Below are 26,002 nucleotides of genomic sequence, written 5' to 3'. Positions count from 1 at the left end.
AGTTCCTTATGGGGAAGTCTCAGGAGGAGCCGTTTCCTCTTTCAGGGAGTTCTCAGTTCTTCATCTGCAAACTTAATAGTTGGACTAGAAAATACATGTGAAGCCAGCCACCTCTAAACATTTTCTGGCTCCGTGACTCCAGTCTTCTATTCTGCTTTCAAGTCAATCAGTGCAGAGAGAAAATCTCTTTTCTGAGTAGTATCAATTATATTTTGATTTGAAGGCAACTCCTTCTGGAAAATGCTTATTTCTCTGTGTGAGCATCAAGACCTCATTTTTATGCTTATTTAATGTTTAAGGCATGTTTTCTTGTGAGGTTAAGAACAGACGCTAGATAATAAAATTCATTTCAGAGTTGAGAATATAGGAAGTACAAACAGTTACTACATGACTCTATGCACTACCAAAGGGAAGAACTAAGAACAACAGCAGCAATAATAATAAGGGCTAATATGTATAAATCCTTACCTTCAGCCAGCCATGGTGCTAAGCACTTGGCATTTATTATCTAATTTAATCTTCATGACAAATCTATGAAGTAAGCATTCTTATTCCTATTATGAGTGGCAAAAATGGGATTTGGAAAGCTTAAGCAATCATCTCAAATATACCCATTTAGTAAACGTGGCATTTATTTTGTCTTTAAACCCAAAAGGCCATCTCTTTTGATTATATCATATCATTTATAATAAAAGATAATGCTACACTTCATAATATGGTTACCACAAATAATCCCTGTGCATGCATACTCTGCTCTAAACTAAAAAGTGACATTGGGAATGACATTGTGAATAATTCTTTGAATTAATACAATTTTAAGCATTCTATATGATATTTAAGCAGGGATAAATTGTGACATATAAATCACAATAATATACTGATATTACACTGCTTTTTTAATGTGATATTGAAAATATAGATTGTAGGTACTGTCTATGGTTTTAATTTTATATATATCATAAAGAACTGGTTTTTTTTTTTTTTTTTTTTTTTTTTTTTTTTTTTTTTTTTTTGAGACGGAGTCTCGCTCTGTCGCCCAGGCTGGAGTGCAGTGGTGCGATCTCGGCTCACTGCAAGCTCTGCCTCCCGGGTTCACTCCATTCTCCTGCCTCAGCCTCCTGAGTAGCTGGGACTACAGGCGCCCGCCACCACGCCTGGCTAAATTTTTGTATTTTTAGTAGAGATGGGGTTTCACCGTGTGAGCCAGGATGGTCTCAATCTCCTGACCTCGTGATCCGCCCACCTCCCAAAGTGCTGGGATTACAGGCGTGAGCCACCGTGCCCGGCCAAAGAACTGTTTTTGAATTATGTTATTAGTATCCGAATACTAAGTATACTAGTTTATTCAGCTAGTGTTTTTTTGTTTTGTTTTGTTTTGTTTTCAAATAAAGTAATTGGTTGCTATTTTGGGATAATTATTTATAGGTGGACCATCAACACATTCCCAATTGATTCAAGTTCCCAAGACTGCAGGAAAAGCAGCAGAGAATCACTGAATCGTGGAGGAGGAAATACAAACAGGGGCCACTGTAAGTATCACAACTAGTCTCTGGGAACACATGAGTGTATACACACATGCATCACTGTATGTACATACAAGTGTGTGCACACAATGACACGATAAGACCCTGAAATAAAATGAAACCAGGATTGACTTAGAGTAAGCCTTTCGAAAGAACAGCAAGATGGAAGCTTAAAATTAAAACTGATAAATAAAGGGATGAGAACTTTTATGTGCATCTGAATTTATACATTGAGATACAAATCTTGTACATATTTTAAAATGATATTTAAAGCAAATTATATATGTTTTGTATTTTTCACAATTTTGACTAATCATTTTTTTAATTTTATTTTACAATGGTAAAAACACATGAGATCTACTCTCTTAACAAATTTGTAAGTGTTCAATGCATTATTTCTGACTGTAAGTACAATGGTGTGTAGCACATTCCTAGAATTTATTCATCTTGCTCAACTTCATGCCCATTAATAGTAATTCTACATTTCCTCTTCCTCCCCGGCCCCTGGCACCCACCGCTCAACTCTTTGATTCTATCAATGTGACTATTTTAGATGCCTTATATAAGTTGAATCATACAGCATTTGTCTTTCAGCGATTATAGTAATATTTGAATATTAGTAATAAAGTTATTGAATATTAATGCAGAAAAACATAAAAAAGGTTATCCATAATACTACATCTCAGAAATATGATTAGTATTTTGATGTAATTTTTGCGCAGTTTTTTTCTTTTTCTTTTTCTATTTTTTTTTTGAGACAGAGTCTCGCTCTGTCCCCCAGGCTGGAGTGCAGTGGCGCGGTCTCGGCTCACTGCAAGCTCCGCCTCCCAGGTTCACGCCATTCTCCTGCCTCAGCCTCCAGAGTAGCTGGGACTACAGGCGCCCGCCACCACGCCTGGCTAATTTTTTTGTATTTTTTAGTAGAGACGGGGTTTCACCGTGTTAGCCAGATGGTCTCTATCTCCTGACCTCGTGATCCGCCCGCCTCGGCCTCCCAGAGTGCTGAGATTACAGGCGTGAGCCACCGCGCCCGGCCCCAGATATTTTTTTTGTACTTTTAGTAGAGACAGGGTTTCACCGTGTTTGCCAGGATGGTCTCGATCTCCTGACCTTGTGCTCCACCTGTGTTTGCCTCCCAAAGTGTTGGGATTACATGCGTGAGCCATCGTGCCCAGCCTGCACATTTTGAAATCAAACTGCTAAGTGAAAGAGATATTGATCTGTATTAACAATTTTATATTCTGCTTTTCTTCACCTAATACATATTTTTGTTGTTGTTGCCATTAAAATTGCTTTAAATAATTTGCAATGGCTGTTCAACACAGTTTATTTGACCACTTCCCTTTTTGTCATGACTTTCAAATAACTACTCTTAGGAAAAATTGTACTATAGATGTACTGTGTTCCCCTCAAGGACAGATACATTTTTTTTTTTAAATTGTTACTTTGGGACCTTTGAGAATATGGCACCACTAAACAAGCAAATACATAATCGCTCTTATTTTTACACTTAGTGATTGAATGAATAAACAAAAAATTATTTTGTCCTTCATTTTCATATTGTTAAAATGAAGATAGTTCCTAATGAAGATAGTTGTAGCAGTATCGTGAGGTTTTAAATAAGGAACTTAGCACAATATCTGACCTATAATCAATGATTAATCAATTCTGGATACAAACTATAATTATAGTAGTAATGATAGTAATTATTATTATAACCATTCTTTCTATGAATCTGTTATGCTCTGATTTTATGCTGTCTTTAAGAGGTAACATGCTTTGGTAGAAAGGCCAAAAATTAAAGTGACATTGCTTGTTATGAGAGTAAGTTAATTCACTTCTTCAACTTCGGTTTTGTCATTTGCAAAATGGGGGAATAATTACCTGTTTTGCATCTTTGTTGTAAGGACACAATATATATGAGCCAGACACCCTAAATAAATGCTGCTTATTGCTCAGTTCCTAGCTCCAATATTTCCTACTAGGTATAGTTCTGAATCAAGCTAGTGAGAATTAATCTAACAAATGGTTGTTTAGTTAACCAAACCACCCACTATTTCCTCAATTAAAAAGCAAGCATGGGGATAGTACTATACTTAATTTTGTAAGGTGAACCCATTGTACAATTGGAAATAAGATCACAGTCAAGAGTATCTTTTTATTTGCAAAAAAAAAAAAAAAAAATCAGAATTATCATATAACCCCCTCCCCAGTTTTGTGCTCAAGACTCTTACTAAGTAACTGGATTATCTGTGCCAGACTGAGGTTGCCTAGAGTTATCCAAATAGCTCTTTGAGGTGGTCAGTCCAATTTAAATGCAATAAAACATCCTCCAAACCAATTTAATGGCATCAACCACTAAAGCAATCGTTTGAACTTTCAATAGAACATATTTTCACACTGTGTATTATGCCCCTCTAGGCACAACTCCAAATAAGCATGATTAAGATGACACAGTGACTTCATCCTCAAAATCAGAAGAGCATTCACATGTATCATTCAAATTCTTATGACAACCCTAAGAGGTAGGGAGGAATAGGGTGTGTGGCATTTTATGTGAATTGGAAAGGTTTGTTTGGGATTGCTAAGCACATCACCAAGGAGTGGTATTGTGTGGTGTCACATGGTCAATGAAGGTGTTATTAAAAGTGCAAAAAAACACACAATCAGGCCTGCATCGTTTACTTCCTTAGTAGGAAAAGAGCCCTTTGAGGGACGGGAATGGTGGCTCATGCCTGTAATCCCAGCACTTTGGGAGGCCAAGGCAGGTGGATCACGAGGTCAGGAGCTCAAAACCAGCCTGTCCAACATGGTGAAACCCCGTCTCTACTAAAAATACAAAAATTAGCTGGGCGTGGTGGCACACATCTGTAGTCCCAGCTACTTGGGAGGCTGAGGCAAGAGAATCACTTGAACCCGGGAGGCAGAGGTTGCAGTGAGCCGAGATCACGCCACTGCACTCCAGCCTGGATGACAGAGCGAGACTCCATCTCAAAAAGCAAAAACAAAAACAAAACAAACGAACAAAAAAGAACCCTTTGAGGTGGAAGCTAAGAAGTGGGGCAAAGTTATTTTATTGATTTGTTTGCTCTGTTTTAGAGAAAATCAGCCTTTATGCTATTTATGAAGGTTAATGTTTCTTAAATGTGAATAGAGTGCGTGAAAACAATATAAATTTTATTCTGTTAGCAAAGTGTATTCTATAATAGAATAGAATATAGTGTAATATACTCTATAGAACATACTATATCTATAATAGAATATTAGAGAATACACTTTGCTAACAGACTACAAATTTATATTGTTTTGAATGTCTACTTTTTTAGCAAAAGTGAAATGCAAAGAAACAGCTATATAAATAATCCCCGGCCAAACTATGTGGCAGATCTAATCAATCTCCTCTTGATCCCAAACTTAAATTCACAATAAGGAAAATGTCCAATTAACCAAAGGAGATTACAGATTCAAATTGATCCTGGTTGAAAAGATGATATCCTTAATGGCAAAATAAAAAGTAATGCCTAATTAATAAAAATAAAACCACTTAGATTGAAAATGTTTAGAAGTAATGTTGTGTAATTCTCCACAAATCACAGACAAACGATATGAGAATTCAAGAGGTCATTTTCTTTTGCAATATTTATGCTGATGAGGTGACATAATAGTATTTTTATCTGCAGTACATATATAGGAGATCTATATATGTAGGCATACTTTAACACCATAAATATTGTCCTTATCAATATGAAGTCTATGGAAATCTCAGCATGCAGTACGTGCTTTCTGCAAATAACAGACACTGCTATATAAATCAAATGAATGTTGAGTCAATTCTTACAATGTGTCAATTTTCCTTTCGTAGTTCCTAGGAACACAATGAACTGATTTCTAGGTGACACTTTAGCACCATCTATATCAGCAGTTCTTACCCAGGGGCAGTTTTGCCACTAGGAGACTTTTGGGTTAATTTTGGTTGTCACAACTGAGGGAAATATGATGCACTTCTAGTATTGAATGGGTAGAAGCCAGGGATGTTGCAAAAGATTCCAGTGTACGAGACAGCCCTTTCCTCCAAAGCCAAGAATTATAGAGCCAGAAATATCAACAATGTCGAGGATGGCAAACTTTAATCCCTACTGACAAAACTTTATCTTTACTGAAAGTTGAAAATCTAATTTGTTTTAAAACATTTATGTGCTCTTTTATTTTAGAAAGAAGATATAAGAAGAAGAAAAACTAGATTAAAGAGAAAGAGCAGCATAATTTTTAAAAAAAATAGAAGAAATGAGGTGATATAGAGTCATTATGGAAGGTCAGGTGATGGATGAAGCAGGCTTTAGGCTCAGCTGTTTGTGGGCAAGTCCAGGCTGGGTCCACACTGTTGGTTGACAAAGGAGGAAACACATTGCATTCTCCTGTTGTTTCATGATATCGACTTCAAATGATTTATTTTACAGCAAGATCTTAAATAAATTTGTAGCATATTTTAACTTAGACGCTGTTGAAAAGGATCATCTTGGCCTGGTGCAGTGGCTCACACCTGTAATCCCAACACTTTGGGAGGCCAAGGTAGAAGGATTGCTTAAGCCCAGGAGTCTAAAACCAACGTGGGGAAAACAAACAAACAAACAAACCAAAAAAAAAATAACCCCATCTCTACAAAAATATAAATAAAAAAAATAAGCTAGGGATGGTGGTGTGCACCTGTAGTCCCAGTTGCTTCAGAGGCTGGGGCAGGAGGATTGCTTAAGCCCAGGAGGTCGAGGCTACAGTGAGTCATGATCATACCACTGCACTGCAGACTCGGTGACAGAGTGAGAATGTCTCCAAAACAAACAAACAAATGAACAAACAAACAAACAAAGCTCATCCAGAGATTGAATTGAAACCATTTGCCCCACTGTATTACTCAGATAGCCTTCTGGGACCCTCACTGGGTAGGTTTTGTTGCAAAAATTACTAACCTTGCTTTTGTTCGTTAACTTTAGCATTAGTAAGTATACATTATTTTGTTTCAACAAAAAACACACCCACACCTGTAATAGATGGACACAGCATGCTGAAATTTGGAGTAGAGATTAATGACCGAGGCTGTTAATCCAACCATGTTCAGAGTCCAACTCAAATCAAAGTGAGCTCAGTCCCTGTCCTTTGGAACATAGCAAAACCCTGTAAAAGGATTTGGGGGAAATAATTATATTTTCTATGGAAGTGCAATGCCATGGGAAAGAGGGTTTTTTTTTCCCTTAATAAAACATTTGCACTTCAAAGTTTAGGAAGCTACTTGTCCATTTTCTAGTTTATATTTATGATACACAAATACAGCCAACACAGCAAGTTTAAAAGAGCACATACAGCTAAATAGACATGATAAATGGTTGGTTAAGAAGGAAGAAATAATTTTTATAACAGGGAAGAAAAACAGGGAAGTTTTTCTTTTCTGTTCTGATAACAGGGAAGAAAAAATTTTATATGGGATTTTACATGTTGTTCATGTTGTTGATTTGGCTAAAGTTAGTAATTAATGCAACCTATACGGTGATATTAAATTCGGATTGTTAAATCAAATTTACACAAAGCAAACATCTTATGTAGAGCCAAAGATTATTAATAATTGTAGAAAACAAAACATTAAGAGCTTGTGGTATAAGGCCGAAAAGTAAGGCCCAGTTTATGTGTGCTTTGACATCTGGGAAAAGCCTGGAGGGTCTCCAGTGACCTCACTGCAAGCTCCCCTCCCAACTTTGTTCCTGCGGATATGTCCTCCAATAAAAAGACGCTGCTTCCCTCGGGGATCAGGCATATTCCACTTCTCCTTGAGTATTGGGCTTCCGTTCCCTCCTACCCTACACCCACAGAATTATTCGAACAAGCCAATCACATCCTCCGGTGGGAACCAGGGGGAAGACCACTCTCTTGATACAACAAATCCTGCCTCCCGCAGTGTCTGATTGCTCACTCTGTTCCCAAGGACAACCCCCATGTCCCCTGCGAGACTTGAGATGCCTTTCTCTCAAAGCCTGTGTGGAAATGCCACTAATAAACTGCTGTTGGTCTCAGTTGCTTTACGTCAGGTGTCAGGTGTTCCGTCATACCCATAACCCCAGGACAGGAATCCTCCCTTACCCATGGGATAAAGAGGAGGTAATTAAAACAGAGGGACAAGCAAAGCAAGGTGGGATCTGATACACACTGCATAGTTCCTCAGGCTTTTTCTTCTTTCATCAGACATGTGCTCTCTGGCCTAGAGTAATAGGGACAGTCCTTAATAAGCTATGCAGTTTATTGCCTCACGCAGAAGCATTTCGGTTATGAAGCATCTCCATTTCATTCCTCCATGGTCATCTAGCTGATAAGTGATTTTCCATAGAGCCGTGATCATAAATCTAAAGTTGCTAAGTGTTTACCATAAGCAACCTAACACAGGGATATCTTGCTAAAAACATTCCATAAATAAGGACTTTTTTCCTAGCAAATATTATTATTTGGGGGTGCCTGAGGGTAGAGTATTCAGATGTTTACAAAATGATTGGTACGGGTTGAATGCTTTCTTTAATTCTTGAGATTATTCCCCCATTAATTGGTAATAAAAGAGAACACTGACAGTTTCTTTAACTCCTCCTGTCCAGCCAAACGAGCATGAAAGGTGAAAAACCTAATATGACAGTATTTTGAGCATGTGAGAAAAATATACATGCTTCATTTAGAAGCATAGAAAATATAAAAATCTCAAATTGAAAATCTGGATTACTTCTTTTCAAGTCTAACTATAAAAGATCTGATACTATTCTGATAGGAGTAAGAATATTTAATCTCTGAAAATCACTGATTTCTAATTCAAGTAATTTAAATTGCTTGAAATTTTTAAAGTGTGCATACTAAATAATTATTTTATTATGTTGTTACTTTTAATTCATGAGGACAATTACTGCCATCTTAAATATTTGCTCTTCTCTCCCTAGCTAATTTAAATAGGTGATAATGAAAACTAACAACATAAGAATAAAAGCTAATAAAGGAATCACTTATATATATTTGCAGCATTTTAAATTTTATTGCTTTCCTTACATTAAACGGATTATAAGTGAAATGTTGATGGACTGTATAACTGTAATTTAGGCTCTAGTACTCTCTGCAATCATCTATCATAAATAAAAATTAACATATATATAAAAAGTAGTTAACGTATCTCAGGAGGTAAGATTACCTGAGAAAATACACTAACTGATATTGATAAACTTTCTGCACCAAAATGCAATTAAAGCTTGAGTTATGTTTATTTGCAAGCTGTTCTCCAATGAGTACATTATGAAGATTAGTCATTTAAATTTTTCTGCTGGACATGTAGAATGCACAGTACTAGTGAGATACTTTTCTTACTGGATATCTCCTATATATTCTTACGGTGATAATTGATAGGCCAAAGCATTTCTATGGTCATTAGAATTCACAAAATTGTATTTTCTGTAGGCCATCACTAAGATTATAAAAAGCCCTTACGGGTGAAGAAGAAACAAAGAAGAATGAACCAGAGGAGAGAGGTATTAAATGTCAGAGAGGAAGCTATGCTCTAGATTGTTATGCAGGATTTCTAGGTCTGCGATTAATTCGCTTATGCAAGTCGCATAACTCTGTGGGTTTTGGTTTCCTCGTTAGTAAAATAGAGGATTGGGCTGGATGGTCTCTTGGGAACTTTTCAGCTTTGAAGTTCTTATAGAGTACACATATGGCTCCTCTTTGTAGTAATCAAAATATCTTATTTATAAACCACAGTGAAACATAGTTCTTTTTCATTACTTTATTCTTCTCTTTAACCAGGCACCAAAATGTGTATATATACTTTTGTTTTAATATGTTTACATTTCTTGGGAAATTATTTTATGAAAAATTTTGGACTAATATGTATAATAAAAGTTATACCCTCCCTTATTCTAGAAAGTATACTGTTATTCATATTTCAGAGTGACAGACATAGGTCTAATTGCATATTACTCTCTGCCAGAAATTTTAATTTGCTTTTAAATCGACACTCTTGATTTTATATGTCAGTTTAACTTTGAAAGTTCTTGAGAGTAAATTTAAATTTAGATTTTACAGTAATATGATGTGACTCTAGCTCTATATCAGTGACATATTAAATAGTTCTCCAAAATATAAGCTAGCTGCCAATTGTAACTGTCTTGTTCCTAAATATAAAGGTAGGCTCACCATGTTCTCTCACTGAACAAAGTCAATTGTAAGTTTCTTCCAAGTAAACAAATTACACTAGAAAAAAAACAATTAAATACTGATAGCTGTTTCCCCATAGAATAAAAAATTAGAACATATATTTCCATGCTTTAAATTTGTTCATTTCAAATGTCACCCTCAAATGGTAACCCAGGAATGAGATCCACTGAGTATCTGATCCACTAGCTATCTACCTTAGCCAACCCCTGCAAAAAAGGCTTATACCCAAATTATGTGAAAGTATCTATCATGTGCACTTTCATCATTAGCCTTATCCCTACAATAATATTTATATGTACAGACCAGGAAGTCATTATCTCAAACTGACACTGAATGACAATCCACAGCTGTCTATTACAAAGCACTCCAATTCTAGTTTGAAACCCAAACTATACTTAAAAGCACTAAAGAATACTACATGTGCTCAAATCTAAGTTCCAGATCTCTTAATGGCAAGAACATCTCTGGTTACAACTTACAGTATTTTTTTTAAATCTAATAACATGAAAACTTAGAAACATAGCATATCCCAAATATGTCATACAGCACATGACAATTTTAATTACCTCATTAATTATCAGTTTATCTTGTATAACTTGGCAGTGATATTTATTAAATCTATTTTTATGTTAAGTTACTTTTATTTTCACATTACTCTGGATCTTGGGTGGTTTTTTTTCCTCTGATAAGCAATCCATATACATAACCCATGAAGCAGCCTCAAAAAAGTGTGATTTAAAATAATAACCAGAAATAATAATACAAGTTATACAAATATTTAAATTAGAAAAAAACACTGAGTTATTTGCTGTCTATAGCTCTGTTTGAACATCTATTATTATATTTAGTTTGGTAATTATTTCAATATTTTGTAGGCCCCTTAGAGCACTGTTCAATATGATACAATATAATCATGCCCTGTTCCACCAATAAAAGAATCTATGCATCCTCAAATAGTAATCAGTTTTCACTGAGGGAATAAATTACGCCTGTATCATTTACATTTGATGTCAGTTCATTTCAGCAAACATTTATTGTGTACAGGGAGCCTGCCATTTAAGGGGATGCTAGTGATGAATAAGGTGACACTTGCTGTCTCCTCCTCCCAGTATCTTGCAGTTGACTTTATTTTGAATTATTTTGTTAAATATTCCATTGGAAATATTTATGTAATATAATGGTATATGATATCTGATAAATATTCATATGAAAATAAACACATGACTCATTGTGGAAATTCAGATGATTCTCATTAAAGACTGCATTTCAACTGAATCTTGAAAGATAAAAAAGATTGGTCAGGTAAAGGATGATGGAGAGGCTATTTTGGTTAGAGAAAGTATCTCCAATGACTGCCTGTTAAACAAGCAGGTCACTCATGTATTAGGAAATATAGCTTGTATTCATATTTGGAGCATAAAACACAATATGACTGGATTTAAGACTACAGAGGTAGTCAGTGGGTGGGCAGAAATTAAATTTCAAACAAACAGCTTGGACTTTATAGGCAATGTAGCATCATTAACGTGTAGTCAGCCCAGATGTAATATGGTCAGATTTGCACTTAAGATTTAAAATTAGCAAAATGCCTTTAAAATAGTATAATTCAATGTTTTTATTCTTATTAATATTAATAAGATTAACAAATCTGTCACAAATATATTGATCCTCTAAGCAACATAATAATTTGTATATTTTTGTACACTGAAATGAGACTTATGTTGCTAACTAAAAACTCCAAATATGAAATAAATTATGTTCTTACCTCTGTGTCTCTTAGTCTTTGAAAATGTTAGTTCTTGTCTTGAATGCTCCTTTACCCCTAATTTCTGTTGCTTCTTAGTGAAACCTTATTTCATTAATCAACATAGGCGAGGCTTGCTTCTCTGTCATAGCATTTATCATAGAGTATTTAAACTATTAACTTATTCATTTATTCTGCCAAAAATTCATCTCCTTGAGGGCAGAGTTCATGCTTTAGGTTGTTTCTAAATGCCTGAATGCGATACAGGTTCACTGAATAAATTGAAGAAATTATAAACACAAAATATAAGTATCTGGGATGCTTCTGTATGATACAAAATTAAACATCTAATTTAAGTAGGAACACACAGGTTGACTTCCAGAACTGATTTTTTATTTTTTGCTCACTTAAACTGATGTAAACATAAATTCTTAATGATTTATATATATATATATATATACATATATATGTATATATAATATTGTGTTTAATAGTGTTTCCAAAAGTCCATGTCCAGCCAAAACCTCAAAGCGTGGCCTTATTTCAAAAGTGGGTCTTTGTGGATATAGCTTGTTAAGATAAGGTCATCCTGGTTTAGGGTAGATCCTAATTCCAATAACCGATGTCCTTAGAAGAAGACTATTTGAAGACACAGAGACACAGACAAAAGCGAAGAAGTTCATGTGAATGTGAACCCAAAGGAGAGATTGAAATGAGGCAGCAATGAGCCAAAGAACATCAAGGACTTCTGGCCACCACCAGGAGATGGGCGAGGGACATGGAACTGTTTCTCTCTCCAAGCTTCCAGAAGGAACTACCCTTGCTAACACCTTGACTTCAGACTGTGCCCTCTAGATCCATGATAGAATACCTTTCCATCGTCTTAAATTTCATCTTAAGATTGCAGAACTGTTTTACAGAGACCCCAGGAAACTAACACATCTGTACATGGCAGCATCTCTTGCCTGGGAAGAATGAGAGTGAGGGGAGTTAGTGTGTGACCCTAGAAGAGGGTATTCTCACTAGAGATGCAGACGTGCCATCAACACAGCATGAAAATGACCAAACACTGTCTTTTACTTATTTGTATTTAACTTCTCCTGATATGTTTTCTTTTTTTCTCAGGCAGCAAGACAGTTTTCCATCACGATTTGCATTGAATGACATACAGGTTTTATTATTTATTCATCCAAATTAAAAGCCTATATAAAAATTAGTTTCGATGTGTGTACCTTGGTTTCCCAAGGTGCCGTCCTTACTTTTAAGAGGACTCTGACTAAAAACTAATTAAGTATTTGCCATCAAAAACGCTCAGTACTTTAATCAGTGCACTGTGTTTGGCTTTTTAAAATGAATGTTTGAGTAATGCAGCCATAAATGATTTTTTGAAATTATTAATCTGAGACCTCTTCCTTTTGCTTTATGAAGTCCCACTGGTATCGCGTAAGAAGATTAGTGTCTGCGCTGTGGGAGAAAGCTCACTGAATCAAAAGGCATGGGACATATTGCTAAGTTTTAAAAATAACTGCATGCACTTGTTTCAACTAAACTTGAGGGAAAACCAAACGTAGAGGAAGCAGAATGATTTCAAATGAGTTTAGATTTATTGAAATTGGAATTCATATTATATTCAAGACAAGTCAGGAAGTAGGAACAATAGAAGCCCTAAAGGCTTCAGAGCAGTGGCCTGGAACGAAATTCTCCACCTGGAATAGAGTCAGCGTCTTATTTCAGCCTTGAGAAGTACCTCATTTCTCAGATGACAAAGTGATCATGGAGGAACTGCACAAAGGAAAGATGACAAACACAAGGGGAGTTGCACCAGACACACAGTCAAACAGAAACAGTGCTCACATTGTGATTTCTCTCTCTCTCTCTAGTTTTCTGGCAAACTTTGCAGTGAAAGAAGCCCCATTCCCTCTCTTGCAGGTTTAAGATAGATCCCAGGTACACCCTTTCAGGAGTTTCCAGACAGATTAGAGAATTCATCTCTCTTCCACGGGCAGGATCAAAACTATGTTTCTCCTTGCTGAGACCCTAGAGTACACAGCACTGCTATTCTCTAGGAAGCCAAAATGGGGGGCTGTGTCTAATCTACATTCCCCACTCAAAGTTATATGATTCCTTTTCTCATTGAAAAATCCAAAGAAAGCTCTTGAGACAACAGTTCACTAAGCTCAAGAACAGAGTATCATCTTCTAAGGACTCATTCTAGTTTGAACTCTAGTATAGAAAATTTACATTAGCCAGTAAATTTTTGGAAGTAACTTTTGGAAAGTGTTTCGTAACAAATATGTTTAACATATATATATTTTAAAATGTAAACATGTATATTTTTCTTGGAAAAGAGATAAGTGTAATTTTCATTCTTCAAAAATAATAAATGAAAAAGAATCTTATCTGGACATTTGGTGTACGCTGTGGTATGAATGCGTCCTTCAAAGTTCATGTTTTGGAAACTTAATCCCCAATGCAACAGTGTTGAGAGGTGGGACTTTTAAGACATGAGTAGGTCACGAGGGCTCTGTTTCCTGTTATGAGACAATGGGAAAAGAAGGCCTTCGCCAGATGCAGGTCCCTTGACCTTGAGCTCCCCAGCCTCCAGAACGGTAAGAAATACACCTGTGTTCTTTCTAGATTACCCAGTCTCAGATATTCTGTTATAGTAACACAAAACAGACTAAGACTGTGTGGTTAGTAAGATGACTGGTTATTACATTATTGACAGTAAAGACAGTTTTCAGGATGATTAAATTTTTGTTTTCCAAACTAAGAAAAAACAATAGAGACTGACACTTAAAACATAACTTTTATAGGTCCTTTATGTTATAAAAAGACATGAAAAACATACATGATGTTTTGGTTCCTCTAAGCTGCACTGTCTAATATGGTAGCCAGTAGTCACATTATTTAAATTTGAATTTAAATGAATTAAAAATTAAATTAAATTAAAAATTTGGTTCCACAGTTGTCTTAGCTATATTTCACATGCTAGTAGCCACATATGGTTAGTGGCTAGAGCATATTGACAACATCTACATCTTTGTAGAAAGTTCTATCAGAGAACATTGCTCAGGCCGATTTTTGTCTTTTCTTTTCTAAAATATATTGACTCTTGTATTAGTTTCATGTTGTTGCTATAACAGATTATCCCAAACTTAGTGGCTTAAAATAACAGAAATTTGTTCTTTCACAACTTCGGAGGTCAGAAGTTCCAAAGCAGCATCACTGAGTGAAATCGATGTGTTGGCAAGATCACATTCCCTCCAGAGAAAAATCTGCCTTTTGAGCTGCTGGCCTTCCTTGGCTTATCGCCATATCACTACAGCCTCTGGTTCCAAGGTGTTCACATTCTCTCCTTCTTTCCCATCTGTGAAATCTCTCCCTGTCTACCTTTTACAATGACACATGTGATTGCACTTAGGGCCCACCTGGCTAATGTAAAATTGCCTCTCCCCAGGAGAATGGCGTGAACCCGGGAGGCAGAGCTTGCAGTGAGCCGAGATCACGCCACTGCACTCCAGCCTGAGCAACAGAGCGAGACTCCATCTCAAAAAAAAAAAAAAAAAAAAAAAAATTGTCTCTCCGTGTCATGATTGTTAACTTAGTCACATCTGCAAATACTTATATGCTTACAACTTCCAAGAATAAAGGCTTTATGTTATGATAGGCCATTACCCAACCTACTACATCCAACTGAAATGCTACTTTTTAAATTTTGTGTTGCTAAGTTACTTACTCCACTGGCATCTATTGATATAAATGTTAATACAGTTTCCCAAAGCTATATGATTTTCCCCCAAAGGGACTTATACAGTGGAAAAGTCTCGCTTCCTGATTTGCTTCAGTTATTTTTCCTTCTTGTCTTGTAATTGTCAAAGCCCAGGCTTGATGGAAAAGCCCATGACAGCACAAACTCACAACTTTATAAATCTACTTGTAACAATTACAGAACATGTGGTCACAGTTTAAGTCTACACCTGTGGATCTTAAGTAACTTCATTGACAATGTTTGCTTTAAAATTATTATTGTTAAAAAAATGTCACCTCAAAAATAAATACGTGTCTAGCAATTGTAATGAGAATGAAGAAGAGTTGCCTGCAAAAACTACTTAAAACAATCAAACAGATGATTGCTATATAGATGATAGATATATAAATAGATAGATAAATGGGAATCCATAGAAATATGAGCAAGATTCTTGAACACTTAAAAAAAAGGTATACGTATGACCAATAAGCATAACCTCTTTCAAAAATCAGAAACAAGCCCAGGTGGGCGGATCATGAGGTCAGCAAATCAAGACCATCCTGGCTAATATGGTGAAACCCCATCTCTAGTAAAAATACAAAAAAAAAAAAAAAAAAATTAGCCGGGCGTGGTGGTGGTCACCTGTAGTCCCAGCTACTCGGGAGGCTGAGGCAGGACAATGGCATGAACCCGGGAGGCAGAGCATGCAGTGAGCCAAGATTGCACAACTGCACTCCAGCCTGGGTGGCAAATCGAGACTACGTCTCAAAAAAAAAAAAAAAAAAAAAGAAACATAACTTAACTAAAATGAGACATGACAAACACTCACCAGAATGGCTACACTTTTTTTTTTTTTTTTTTTGACACGGAGTCTGGCTCTGTCGCCCAGGTTGGAGTACAGTGGTGCAATCTTGGCTCACTGCAAGCTCCACCTCCCGGGTTCACGCCATTCTCCTGCTTCAGCCTCCTGAGTAGCTGGGACTACAGGCGCCCGCCACAATGCCCAGTTAATTTTGTTTTGTATTTTTAGTAGAGACGGGGTTTCACCGTGTTATCCAGGATGGTCTCGATCTCCTGACCTCGTGATCCGCCCTCCTTGGCCTCCCAAAGTGCTGGGATTACAGGTGTGAGCCACCGCGCCCGGCCTAAACTTTTAAACAATACTAAATATCTTAATTTGTAAGCATCAGGAACTCCAGTTAATTGCATTGGAGACTTTAAATTGATATAACCAAATTAGAAAAATTTGTGTTGTTATTGGCCAAAGGTGAACACACATATATGCTAGTTTGTTATTACCCCCCCAAGTCTATACCCATTGGAAACATTTTTAGTAATTCTGTATAAATAGCCAACATCTAGAAACAACTCAAACGTTCATCAGCATGAAATAAACAAATGATTGTAGAATATTCACAAGATAGAATAATACTGAGGAAAAGAAACTAATATCTCTAATATCAGCACAGATAATTCTCAGAAATATGATTTGTAACTAAAGAAGTCAAGTGTAAAATAATGCATCTTTTATGACTCCATCTGTGTGAAATTTTTTTGAAAAACAAGAACTAATCTTTGGTGATACAAATCAGGTGAATTTTTATGTTTAAGGAGTTGCAGTAACTGGGAGAAGGCCTACTCAGTGGTTGCGGGGTGTTGACATGATGTTTTGATTAAACTGTGGACGGTCAGGTGGGTGCTTATTTTGCTGGGATTAAAAACAGAACGGTGATAGTGAGCTTTGGCACTGTACCAGACTACCTGGGTTCCCTTTCAGACCTATCACTCAGGCTATGTGCTTTTGGGTAAATTTTAACTTTTACTATTTTTATTATTATTAACTCTATTAAATTATTTGTCCCACTTCATCTCACAAAGACCATGTCTTTCTCATCTACTGTGGTAATGCTACCATTTAATATATTTATCACACATGAAAAGTGCTCATTAAATAATTGCTAATAAAATAAATTGCACATACACGTAGTCTCCATGAAGGATTATATATATATATATGCACGTATATGTGTGTGTGTGTATGTATATGTGTGTGTATATATACCTATATATATGTGTGTGTGTGTCTGTATTTATTTACTAAAAGTTAAACATGGCTCTTAACAAAATTTGTGATGGTCACAAAAATATCACATTTTCTTCTGGCCTTCCCGTCATGATGCTATGCTGAGAGCAAGACTATGTGTGAACATGACACTCTGTTCATGAATGTCTAGACCACATAGGACCAAAGATTCTAATTTATGTTAGACCTCTTTTTGGGCCTTACCAGAAATGCTAAATTTTCCTTTTAAAGAGCTACATTCTCCTGAAGAGCTAAATCTTTTGTCTCTCTACTAATTTTATCTGCTACAATAAAATGGTAACCAAATAAACAGTTTTTGAGAATTTTTAAATGACCTCCATGACCCCTTTATTGTAGTTTGCACATAACACTATTGCCTATGAATTAATAAGACAGTATTCGGGCACTATTATAGCTAATATTTTGACCAATTTCTGTTACTAAATGTGTACAGAGGTGAAAGCTTCATATATTCTTTTATATAAAATACTAAGTGTCTAGGGCATTTTAGAAAGCTTGTCCAACGGGGGCATTTGAAATTTTCTGCTTAGTGTGAACTCATTTTTGTGGGTTTATAGGAATGAGTAGGAAACGGGCTAATAAGAGACTTTTTGCATAACATAGAGAAACCAAATCCCCTCCTTGTTCATACCCAGCATCTTTGTTCCCCCAGGGAATTGTAACAGCTGGAAGAAAAATTTCCGGGAATGAGGAAAGTATATTTTACTAGGGAATTCATATTTTGAAGCCAATGTTTGCAAATCACGTGTTCGTAGATTAAATTTATACTATCTAGCAGTCTCATAAAGAAACAACAACCACAACTGGAGATAATCTTGAAAGCAGTTCTGTGTTGGTATCGCCTTCACAGAAGCAAATAAGCAAAGATATATCCTCTCAAGAAGAATTCACCATCAACCTTGGCCCAAACAAATTTCCACAGATAAAATTTTAAAGAAATTGAGGTCACAGTAAAGAATATGGATAAGCATAAGGATAAGGATAAAAAGGACAGACAGGCAAACAAGATAAGAAGAAAAAGAGAGAGGAAGAGGAGTAGGAGAAAACAAGTACCATTTGCAAAAATTAGCAGCAACAATAGACAGAAGAATTATAATCCCCCAAATTCATATGTTGGAATCCTTAGATATATGCATAATGTATTTAAGAAATAACAAGGGAGCTTTAAAATATATTTAAGGGAAAATAACCTCTTTAGATGACCAAATCAATTTGAAAAAATAAATTAAATTTGGTAGAGAAAGCGTCATTGACTTTAAAACCCAGTGATTGGCTTTAGTATAGGAATAGGCATAACTGAAGAGAGATACTTAGTGAACCCGAAGGAAGTTCTTCGAAATGTTTTCAAAACCCATAATAAAGACCCAAATACATAGATAACAATATAGGTTTCCCCTTTTTAAATATTTCATAAGGCAAGGCAATTTTATTAATAAGCTTTATTATTTAGTCTATTGAACAAAAAAAACCTTTCCAAATCTTCAACCTAAAGTATAATTAAGATATATGACATGTCAGTCTCTGTACGTGTTTATAATATACATTTATAACATGCAAATAGAGACACAACCTTTTATTATATATATATGTATCTATGCATAGATACATATATATGTAAATGAGAAGGTAGTTTATTGTCAGAGAAAGCAAGTAATGTTAAATAATTTAAAATAAAACAGCTTACTATTTAAATAAAGATAAAACCTGCCACAAATTTAAACAATACGATACTCACAGTAAGAACAGCCATAAACTTCAATTCTGAGTCCAATGCGACCTTCTCCATTCCAATCCAGAGGCACTATGCGCACATAGCGGGCAATAATCGGATGCTGTAATTCGTGCCGGACCACACCGTCAGAGTTAATGTTTCCGGGAAATGCCTGGAAAAGGAAATAGTATTTTAAAAATTGGGAAAAATACTTTAGAAACAATCATGTCCTCTGTCTACTAGAATAAACACAAATGTCATCCAATGGTAGGGCTTGTGATTTCTTACACCGTAAATAATTTGAAGAAAGCTGCTTCCTTACTCTTAATGTGAAAATAGGTCCAGTTTTAAGTGGAAAACAGGTCAGATTTTCTGTGGGTCTTTTCATCCATGTAAACATACGTTAAAAGAATGAAAGACTAAATGGCATCCACTGTTGTGTTCCATACACATTGAAATGAGTTCTAATATTTTGCATTTAATTTATACAATAAATGATTTTTATAGCATCTAACCATATGTCTTGCTCTCTAAAATTCTCCTCCACATTTTCTCCCATAAAACCATTAGAAATTTAAAGATAACATTTCAACATTAGTGAGAGAAGAAGAACAATTGAACACGTTGTGAAGAGGTCAGGGTTTTCTACCTTTTATTGGAGTAGACACATTTAGAGAATTTGTTCAATGGATCAGAAACATGTTAATTCAGTTTTTTTCATTATAGAAGATTCTGTCAAAAGAATAATTATCCATGAATTTTTATCTGATACTGAAAGTTCACATTGTCTTTTTTTTTAATTTTATTTTTTATTTTTTTCCTCTCAGCGGAGAACAAATGGATTTTTTGGGAGGCATACATAACGATCATTCAACAAGGATTTACAAACTATCTATTTCATAAGTTAGAGCAAGATAATATGGGATATTCAAGGATGTGTGAAACCATAGACTCGACTCTCAAAAAATTACCATCTAATGAAAAAGAAAATGTCAGTATAAAGTTATAATTCAAGGAAGATTTAAAGAAAGAAACTATTATATTTTAGAAGATATAATTCAAATAAATGAAAGCTTGTGCTATTTTAAACATGAGCAGTTTCAGCTTCATATATGCATTCTAAATGTCCCTATAATAGACAAGTTGAGGCTTTAGCATTATCTTTTAGAAGATATTCTCTTTTCGATTTATTTAAATTATCTTAAAATCATACAAATATGCATTCTAAATGTCCCTATAATAGATAACTTGAGGTTTTAGCCTTATCTTTTAGAAGATATTAACTTTCAGATTTAAATTATCTTAAAATCATACAAATAGAAATTTTAAAAATTATTTTTTAAATCATGAAAAGATGCAACACAGGCATTATATTACATTGTTAGTATGTTGTCTTCTTTGCCTAAGGACTGAATTTGCTTCTATCTAAAACCAGGAGTTTTGTCTTTTAAAAAAATTATCTTTAATAATGATGTTTTAAAGTTAGACTACTCATACAAAGTAAAGAGCGAGAGATGTTTTTAATTAAAAAAAAATACAGAGTAGCTTCGGAATTGAAAGCACTGGCTTAAGTTCATCCAAGCAACACAAATGCAAGTTTGTAGTAGATCTGTTATCCAACCCGCATTCCCCGGTCAAATTCCTGCGCTCCGAAATACAAAATGTGTAATGTAAGGCCTAGTAATTATGAGAAGTATACTGAAAGATTTCCTCCGCATTGAAACAATTTTATGTAACCTTTAGATGGTACCAGCAATCCACATAATGGATAATATTTAGTCTATAACATGGACAATTACATGTTTTAAAAATTGGGATGTTCTTCTGTGACGATTCCTGCTGTGCTCTTCTTGGTTTTCTCAAATGAGCTGCGTACTACCACTGCCTTTTAAAAATAGCCATACACTTCTGTAATCCATAAAACAAAACTATTTGAGCAGTATGTCTTGAATTTTAACACTTAATAGAGCATCCTCATTGCATCTTGTTGACAAAATTTCATCAGAAAAACAATTTCTAAAAAGACATTTTCTTTGTAGGTACTTTTCTAGCCAGCTGTTAGTTTTACAAAGAATCTAAAAATCTAAACAAGCATTCCATTAAACCATGGCTATATTTTCAGATCTCTATTGGGTTCTCTGGCTTCAAATGCAAGAACAATTAGAATCCTTGACCAAAATCACTTGAATTAAATCTACAATTGGATATGGGTTAATCCAAAATTTATGATCTTAAATAATACTCAACAAAAGCCACCAAACAATTTCAACTTGAAAATTAACTATATGCTTAGCATGTTGCTAGGTTTTATGTCAATATTTAGAAAAACAACAAAAATCTCTCCTGAAACACTGTCTCTAAGACATCTGCAGTCTTATGAGGCCTAAAATAAAATCTAAAAAGATATTGCAAAAGGCAGCATTAAAAGGAACTATGGAAGTGCATTACGTAACTAGTAATTTTACCGATATTTGGAGTTCCCTGAAGGCTATGTAATCAGGCAAATTCTACAGAGTTAGAGCTCAGCTGCATAGAAGGACAGAGTGGTGTTTGAAAGACAAGAGAGAAAGGGGCTAGGATATATTGAAGAATAGGTTGGCATAAAGGAGGATTTCAGACCTAGGGTATAAGACCCAGAGTCCAGGGATAGTTATGCTGAAATTTTGCTTTGTATGGGTAGCCTCTCTAGGACTTAAAAAAAATACTTTTCCTTTCCCCTGTATGTCTCTCACAAAAAGATTTGATGCGCTTATTGGTAAAATGAATTTTTGAACTAAGATTGTAGATTCTCGGGAAACATGAACCAAGGGTGTTCAGGAATACACAAGGAATAGGAATAAAGACACAAGTCTGACTGGCAGAAAGTAGTTATGTTGAAAAAAATCATAAATCTTTTAACAGGTTCTGTCTGATTAGAGACAAAATAATATAGCATGTATTGTTGTTGTTGTTCTTGTTGTTAAGAAATAACAATAAAAGCCATATTAATGAGATCCAGGGTAATGGGAAATCATACTGGGAGCAAGAAGATTAGCAACAAGTAATTGAAGGTCAACACCAATGTGGTGGTAGGGGCAATAAATAAATAAAAGACAGATTTGATATTTCAAAAGAAGAATTATTAACATCTTGAAAGAAGGGAGTAGAAGATATAATCAACCTATTCCAAGATATTAGTGTGCAGGCATTGGTGACAGAAAAGGGAAGAGAGGGAAAGATATGATGAACATTTATTGCTCGACTGCTCAGCAACCTCTTCCCTTTGAGTAATAGCATCTGGCTTTTCTTTAAAAAGTTCACTCTTAATATTCTACTCTTCCCCAGGCGCAGTGGCTCACACCTGTAATCACAGCACTTTGGGAGACCAAGGTGGGCTGATCGCTTGAGGTCAGGAGTTCAAGACCAGTCTGGCCAACATGCTGATACCCTATCTCTACTAAAAATACAAAAATCAGCCAGGTGTGGTCATGCACGCCTGTAATCCCAGCTACTTGGAAGGCTGAGGCAGGAGAATCACTTGAACCCAGGAGGCAGGGGTTTCAGGGAGTTGAAATCACGCCACTGTACTCCAGCCTGGGTGACAGAGCCAGACTCTGTCTCAAAAAAAAAAAAAAAAAAAAAAAAAAATTCACTCTTAATCCATATGATGCTAGAGAGGCAGACACTACTCCCTACCACCAGGGGTGGGCACCTAACTCAATGAGACTCAGTTTTAGCCCTTCTGCTAAAATGCTTCATTCATACATTTACTTACGTATTTATTCATTCACCTTTCATTCACTCAGGAGATATTTGAGAGTCTTCTATGTAGCAGATATTGTTCAAATCAACAATGTAGACAGAGTTGCAGTTTTCATGGCATTTATATTATTAAACTACATAGTGAGCTTTTTTTCATAGGCTTGTTGGCCACTTTTGAAAAGTGTCTGTTCATATCCTTTTCCCACTTTTTAGCAGGGTTGTTTTACTCTTGTAAATTTGTTTAAGTTCCTTATCGATGCTGGATATTAGACCTTTGTCAGGTGCAAAGTTTGCAAATATTTTTCCCATTCTATAGATTGTCTGTTATACTCTGTTGACAGCTTCTTTTGCTGTGCAGAAGCTCTTAGGTTTAATTAGATCCCATTTGTCAATATTTGCTTTGTTATGATTGCTTTTCATGTCTTTGGCATGAAATCTTTGCCCATTCCTATGTCCAGGATGGTATTGCCTAGGTTGTCTTCCAGAGTTTTTATAATTTTGGGTTTTACATTTAGGTTTTGGAGAAAAGGAAATACTTATACACTGTTGGTGAGCATGGAAATTAGTTTAACCATTGTGGAAAGCAGTATGATGATTCCTCAAAGAGCTAAAAGAAAAACTACCATTTGACCCAGCAATCCCATTATGGGGAATATACTCAGAGGAATATAAATCATTCTACCACAAAGACACATGCATGCAAATGTTCACTCTGGCACTATTCACAATAGCAAAGGCATAGAATCAACCCAGATTGGATGAAGAAAATGTGCTACATATACACCATGGAAAATTATGCAGCAATAAAAAAGAATGAGATGGAGCTGGAGTCTATTATACTTAGCAAACAAATGCAGGAACAGAAAACCAAATACCACATGTTCTCATTTGTAAGTGGGAGCTAAATGATGAGAACTAATAAACACAAAGAAGGAAACAGCAGACACTGGGGTCTCCTGGAGAGTGGAGGGTGGAAGGAGGGAGAGGAGCAGAAAGGATAACTATTGGGTACTGGGCTTAATACCTGGGTGATGAAATAATCTGTACAACAAACCCCTGTCACATGAGTGTTTACCTGTGTAACAAACCTTCACATGTACTCCTGAACCTGAATATGTGTCTATATATATACACATACACACATACACATATATGTATACCTACACATACAATACTGACACTATGTTATATGTAATATGTACATATTGTTATATATGTTTTTATATGTAAATCCTATAATTATACAATTACATATATCGTTTATGCAAAGGCCAGAAAGGCAAATGGCATGAGCATACTGTGCCTGTTTGTGGGGGTAGCAAGGAAGTCAGTATTGTTGGAAGAGTGTGAAGAAGGAATGAACAGGGGAGAAGATGGAGAGGTCAAGGACAGAATGAGGAGGGCCTGTACATTATGATCACGCTCTAGATTTCATTTATGTGTGCTGGAAGGGAAATCTACTAGAGAGTTTTAAGCAAGAAAGTTATACATCTTATAATTTTTAACAATGAAAGCACTAAAATCCCCCTCTCTGAGTAAAGAGAAATTCCCAAGAAGATAGTAGAAGACCATTGCATAATGTAAAATACAAAATGATAGATGAAATAATATGGCCACAAGTGCTTCAGAGGTTGTTCAGGGAGGAGAGGTTTGGAACATTGGTGTGGAAGAACAGCAGGACAGCTACCACACCTTGGGATCTCCAATGCACGCTGAGTGAAAAGAAAACAAACAAAACTGCAGGAATGGAGGTGCTCTTCCCACTGAGCTTCTGTTGGCCATTTTGATATTACAAAGGAGTGGAAGTCAGAGAAAGACAAAGTAAGCACATCTGCGATGACATCATTTGAGAAATCTAAATCCAGAGCTTGCTAAGGTGTTTTGGATTATTTGATCTGTTTCCTTATTTGTTTGTTTCTGAGCAACTGAAATAACATTGACTAATACAACAATATTTGAAGGGAAAGATAATTAGTGAAGATTTAGATATACTGCATTTGAGATTTCACCAGCAAAATTAAAAGATGTTATTGGACATTTGAGGTTTAGAATAATAGTGCTTTACCTAAGGTTTGCCTTTGCTTTACTTATGGAAAAATGCATGCTATATATTTTCTTCAGGATTCTCAAAATCAATAGTTTGTGCTTCTGTTGTTATTTTTATTGTTATATTTTATTTTTAGAGACAGGGTCTGGCTCTATCACCCAGGCTAGAGTACAGTGGCACAGTCATAGCTAACTGTAACCCTTGAATTCCTGTGATCAAACGATCCTCCCACCTTAGCCTCCTGAGTAGCTAGGACTATAGGTGTGTGCCAATAGATTGTGATTTTTCCACTTCTTTCATCCAAGCATATTGAGATTTAAGACATTTTCCTAACTGAAGCTTTAAATATTTCAAAAGAATACCATAGGCGTGAACCATTGATTGTCTTGATTACAAAGCTGTAAATATATGTGAAATGTCTCCATAAATATCAGTATTTGATAAGGTAGGAAACATAAAAGGAGATGTAGCCGTTGATTTAATAAAAACAACGTCTAACATGTATATATCTATTATTTAAACGGTTCTAGTATAGTCTGTATTGTTTGTGCCTCAAAGAAAACTCTAAAATTGTCAGGGATGCTATTTTTTCAAATCAGGAAACAGACTCAGAGAAGTTGGCCAACATGGTGAAACCCCGTCTCTGCCAAAAATACAAAAAATTAGCCAGGCATGGTGGCATGCACCTGTAATCCCAGCTACTCAGGAGGCTGAGGCAGGAGAATCACTTGAACCTGGGAGGTGGAGGTTGCAGTGAGCCAAGATCGCACCACTGCACTCTGGCCTGGACAACAAGAGCGAAACTCCATCTCAATAAAAAAAAAAAAAAAAAAAAGGGAAAAAAAAAACAAAACTGGATGTCGAATACCTAGTAAAGACAAACTTGGGACAAAGTAACAAGTTCTTCCACTCTCTTCATTTGAGAATCAAATTGTCAACTAGAAATAAATATCTTCCCATTTATATACAATATATTTTATTTTTGATATTTAATGTTATATATTTGAATATCAAATTTAAAGTCTGATGGATGCTTTTTATCATATCACTTTTTAGATACACATTTGATATCTGGTCTATTTATTAGATAGTACATCTAATATAGTGTTCATATTTTACTTCTCTCCTTATTTTTTATTTCTACAAATTTTT

At 35.5% G+C, this 26,002-nt stretch overlaps 1 protein-coding gene across 2 annotated transcripts in view; it reads right to left on the bottom strand.

The window, feature by feature from the left end:
• The window catches only part of CNTNAP2 (contactin associated protein 2), a 2,304,198-nt gene that overhangs the window by 1,357,858 nt on the left and 920,338 nt on the right, over positions 1 to 26,002 (bottom strand). For both annotated transcript variants that reach the window (NM_014141.6, XM_017011950.3), the window contains exon 4: positions 19,087 to 19,234. In NM_014141.6, coding sequence (NP_054860.1) covers positions 19,087 to 19,234 — 148 coding nt within the window. The remainder of the gene's footprint in view (positions 1 to 19,086; positions 19,235 to 26,002) is intronic.

This window comes from Homo sapiens, chromosome 7 (genome assembly GCF_000001405.40).
Source record: "Homo sapiens chromosome 7, GRCh38.p14 Primary Assembly".
In the NCBI taxonomy this organism is placed as follows: domain Eukaryota; kingdom Metazoa; phylum Chordata; class Mammalia; order Primates; family Hominidae; genus Homo; species Homo sapiens.
The sequence above is the reverse complement of the archived record's forward strand: the minus strand, read 5'-3'. Positions and strand labels throughout refer to the sequence as shown.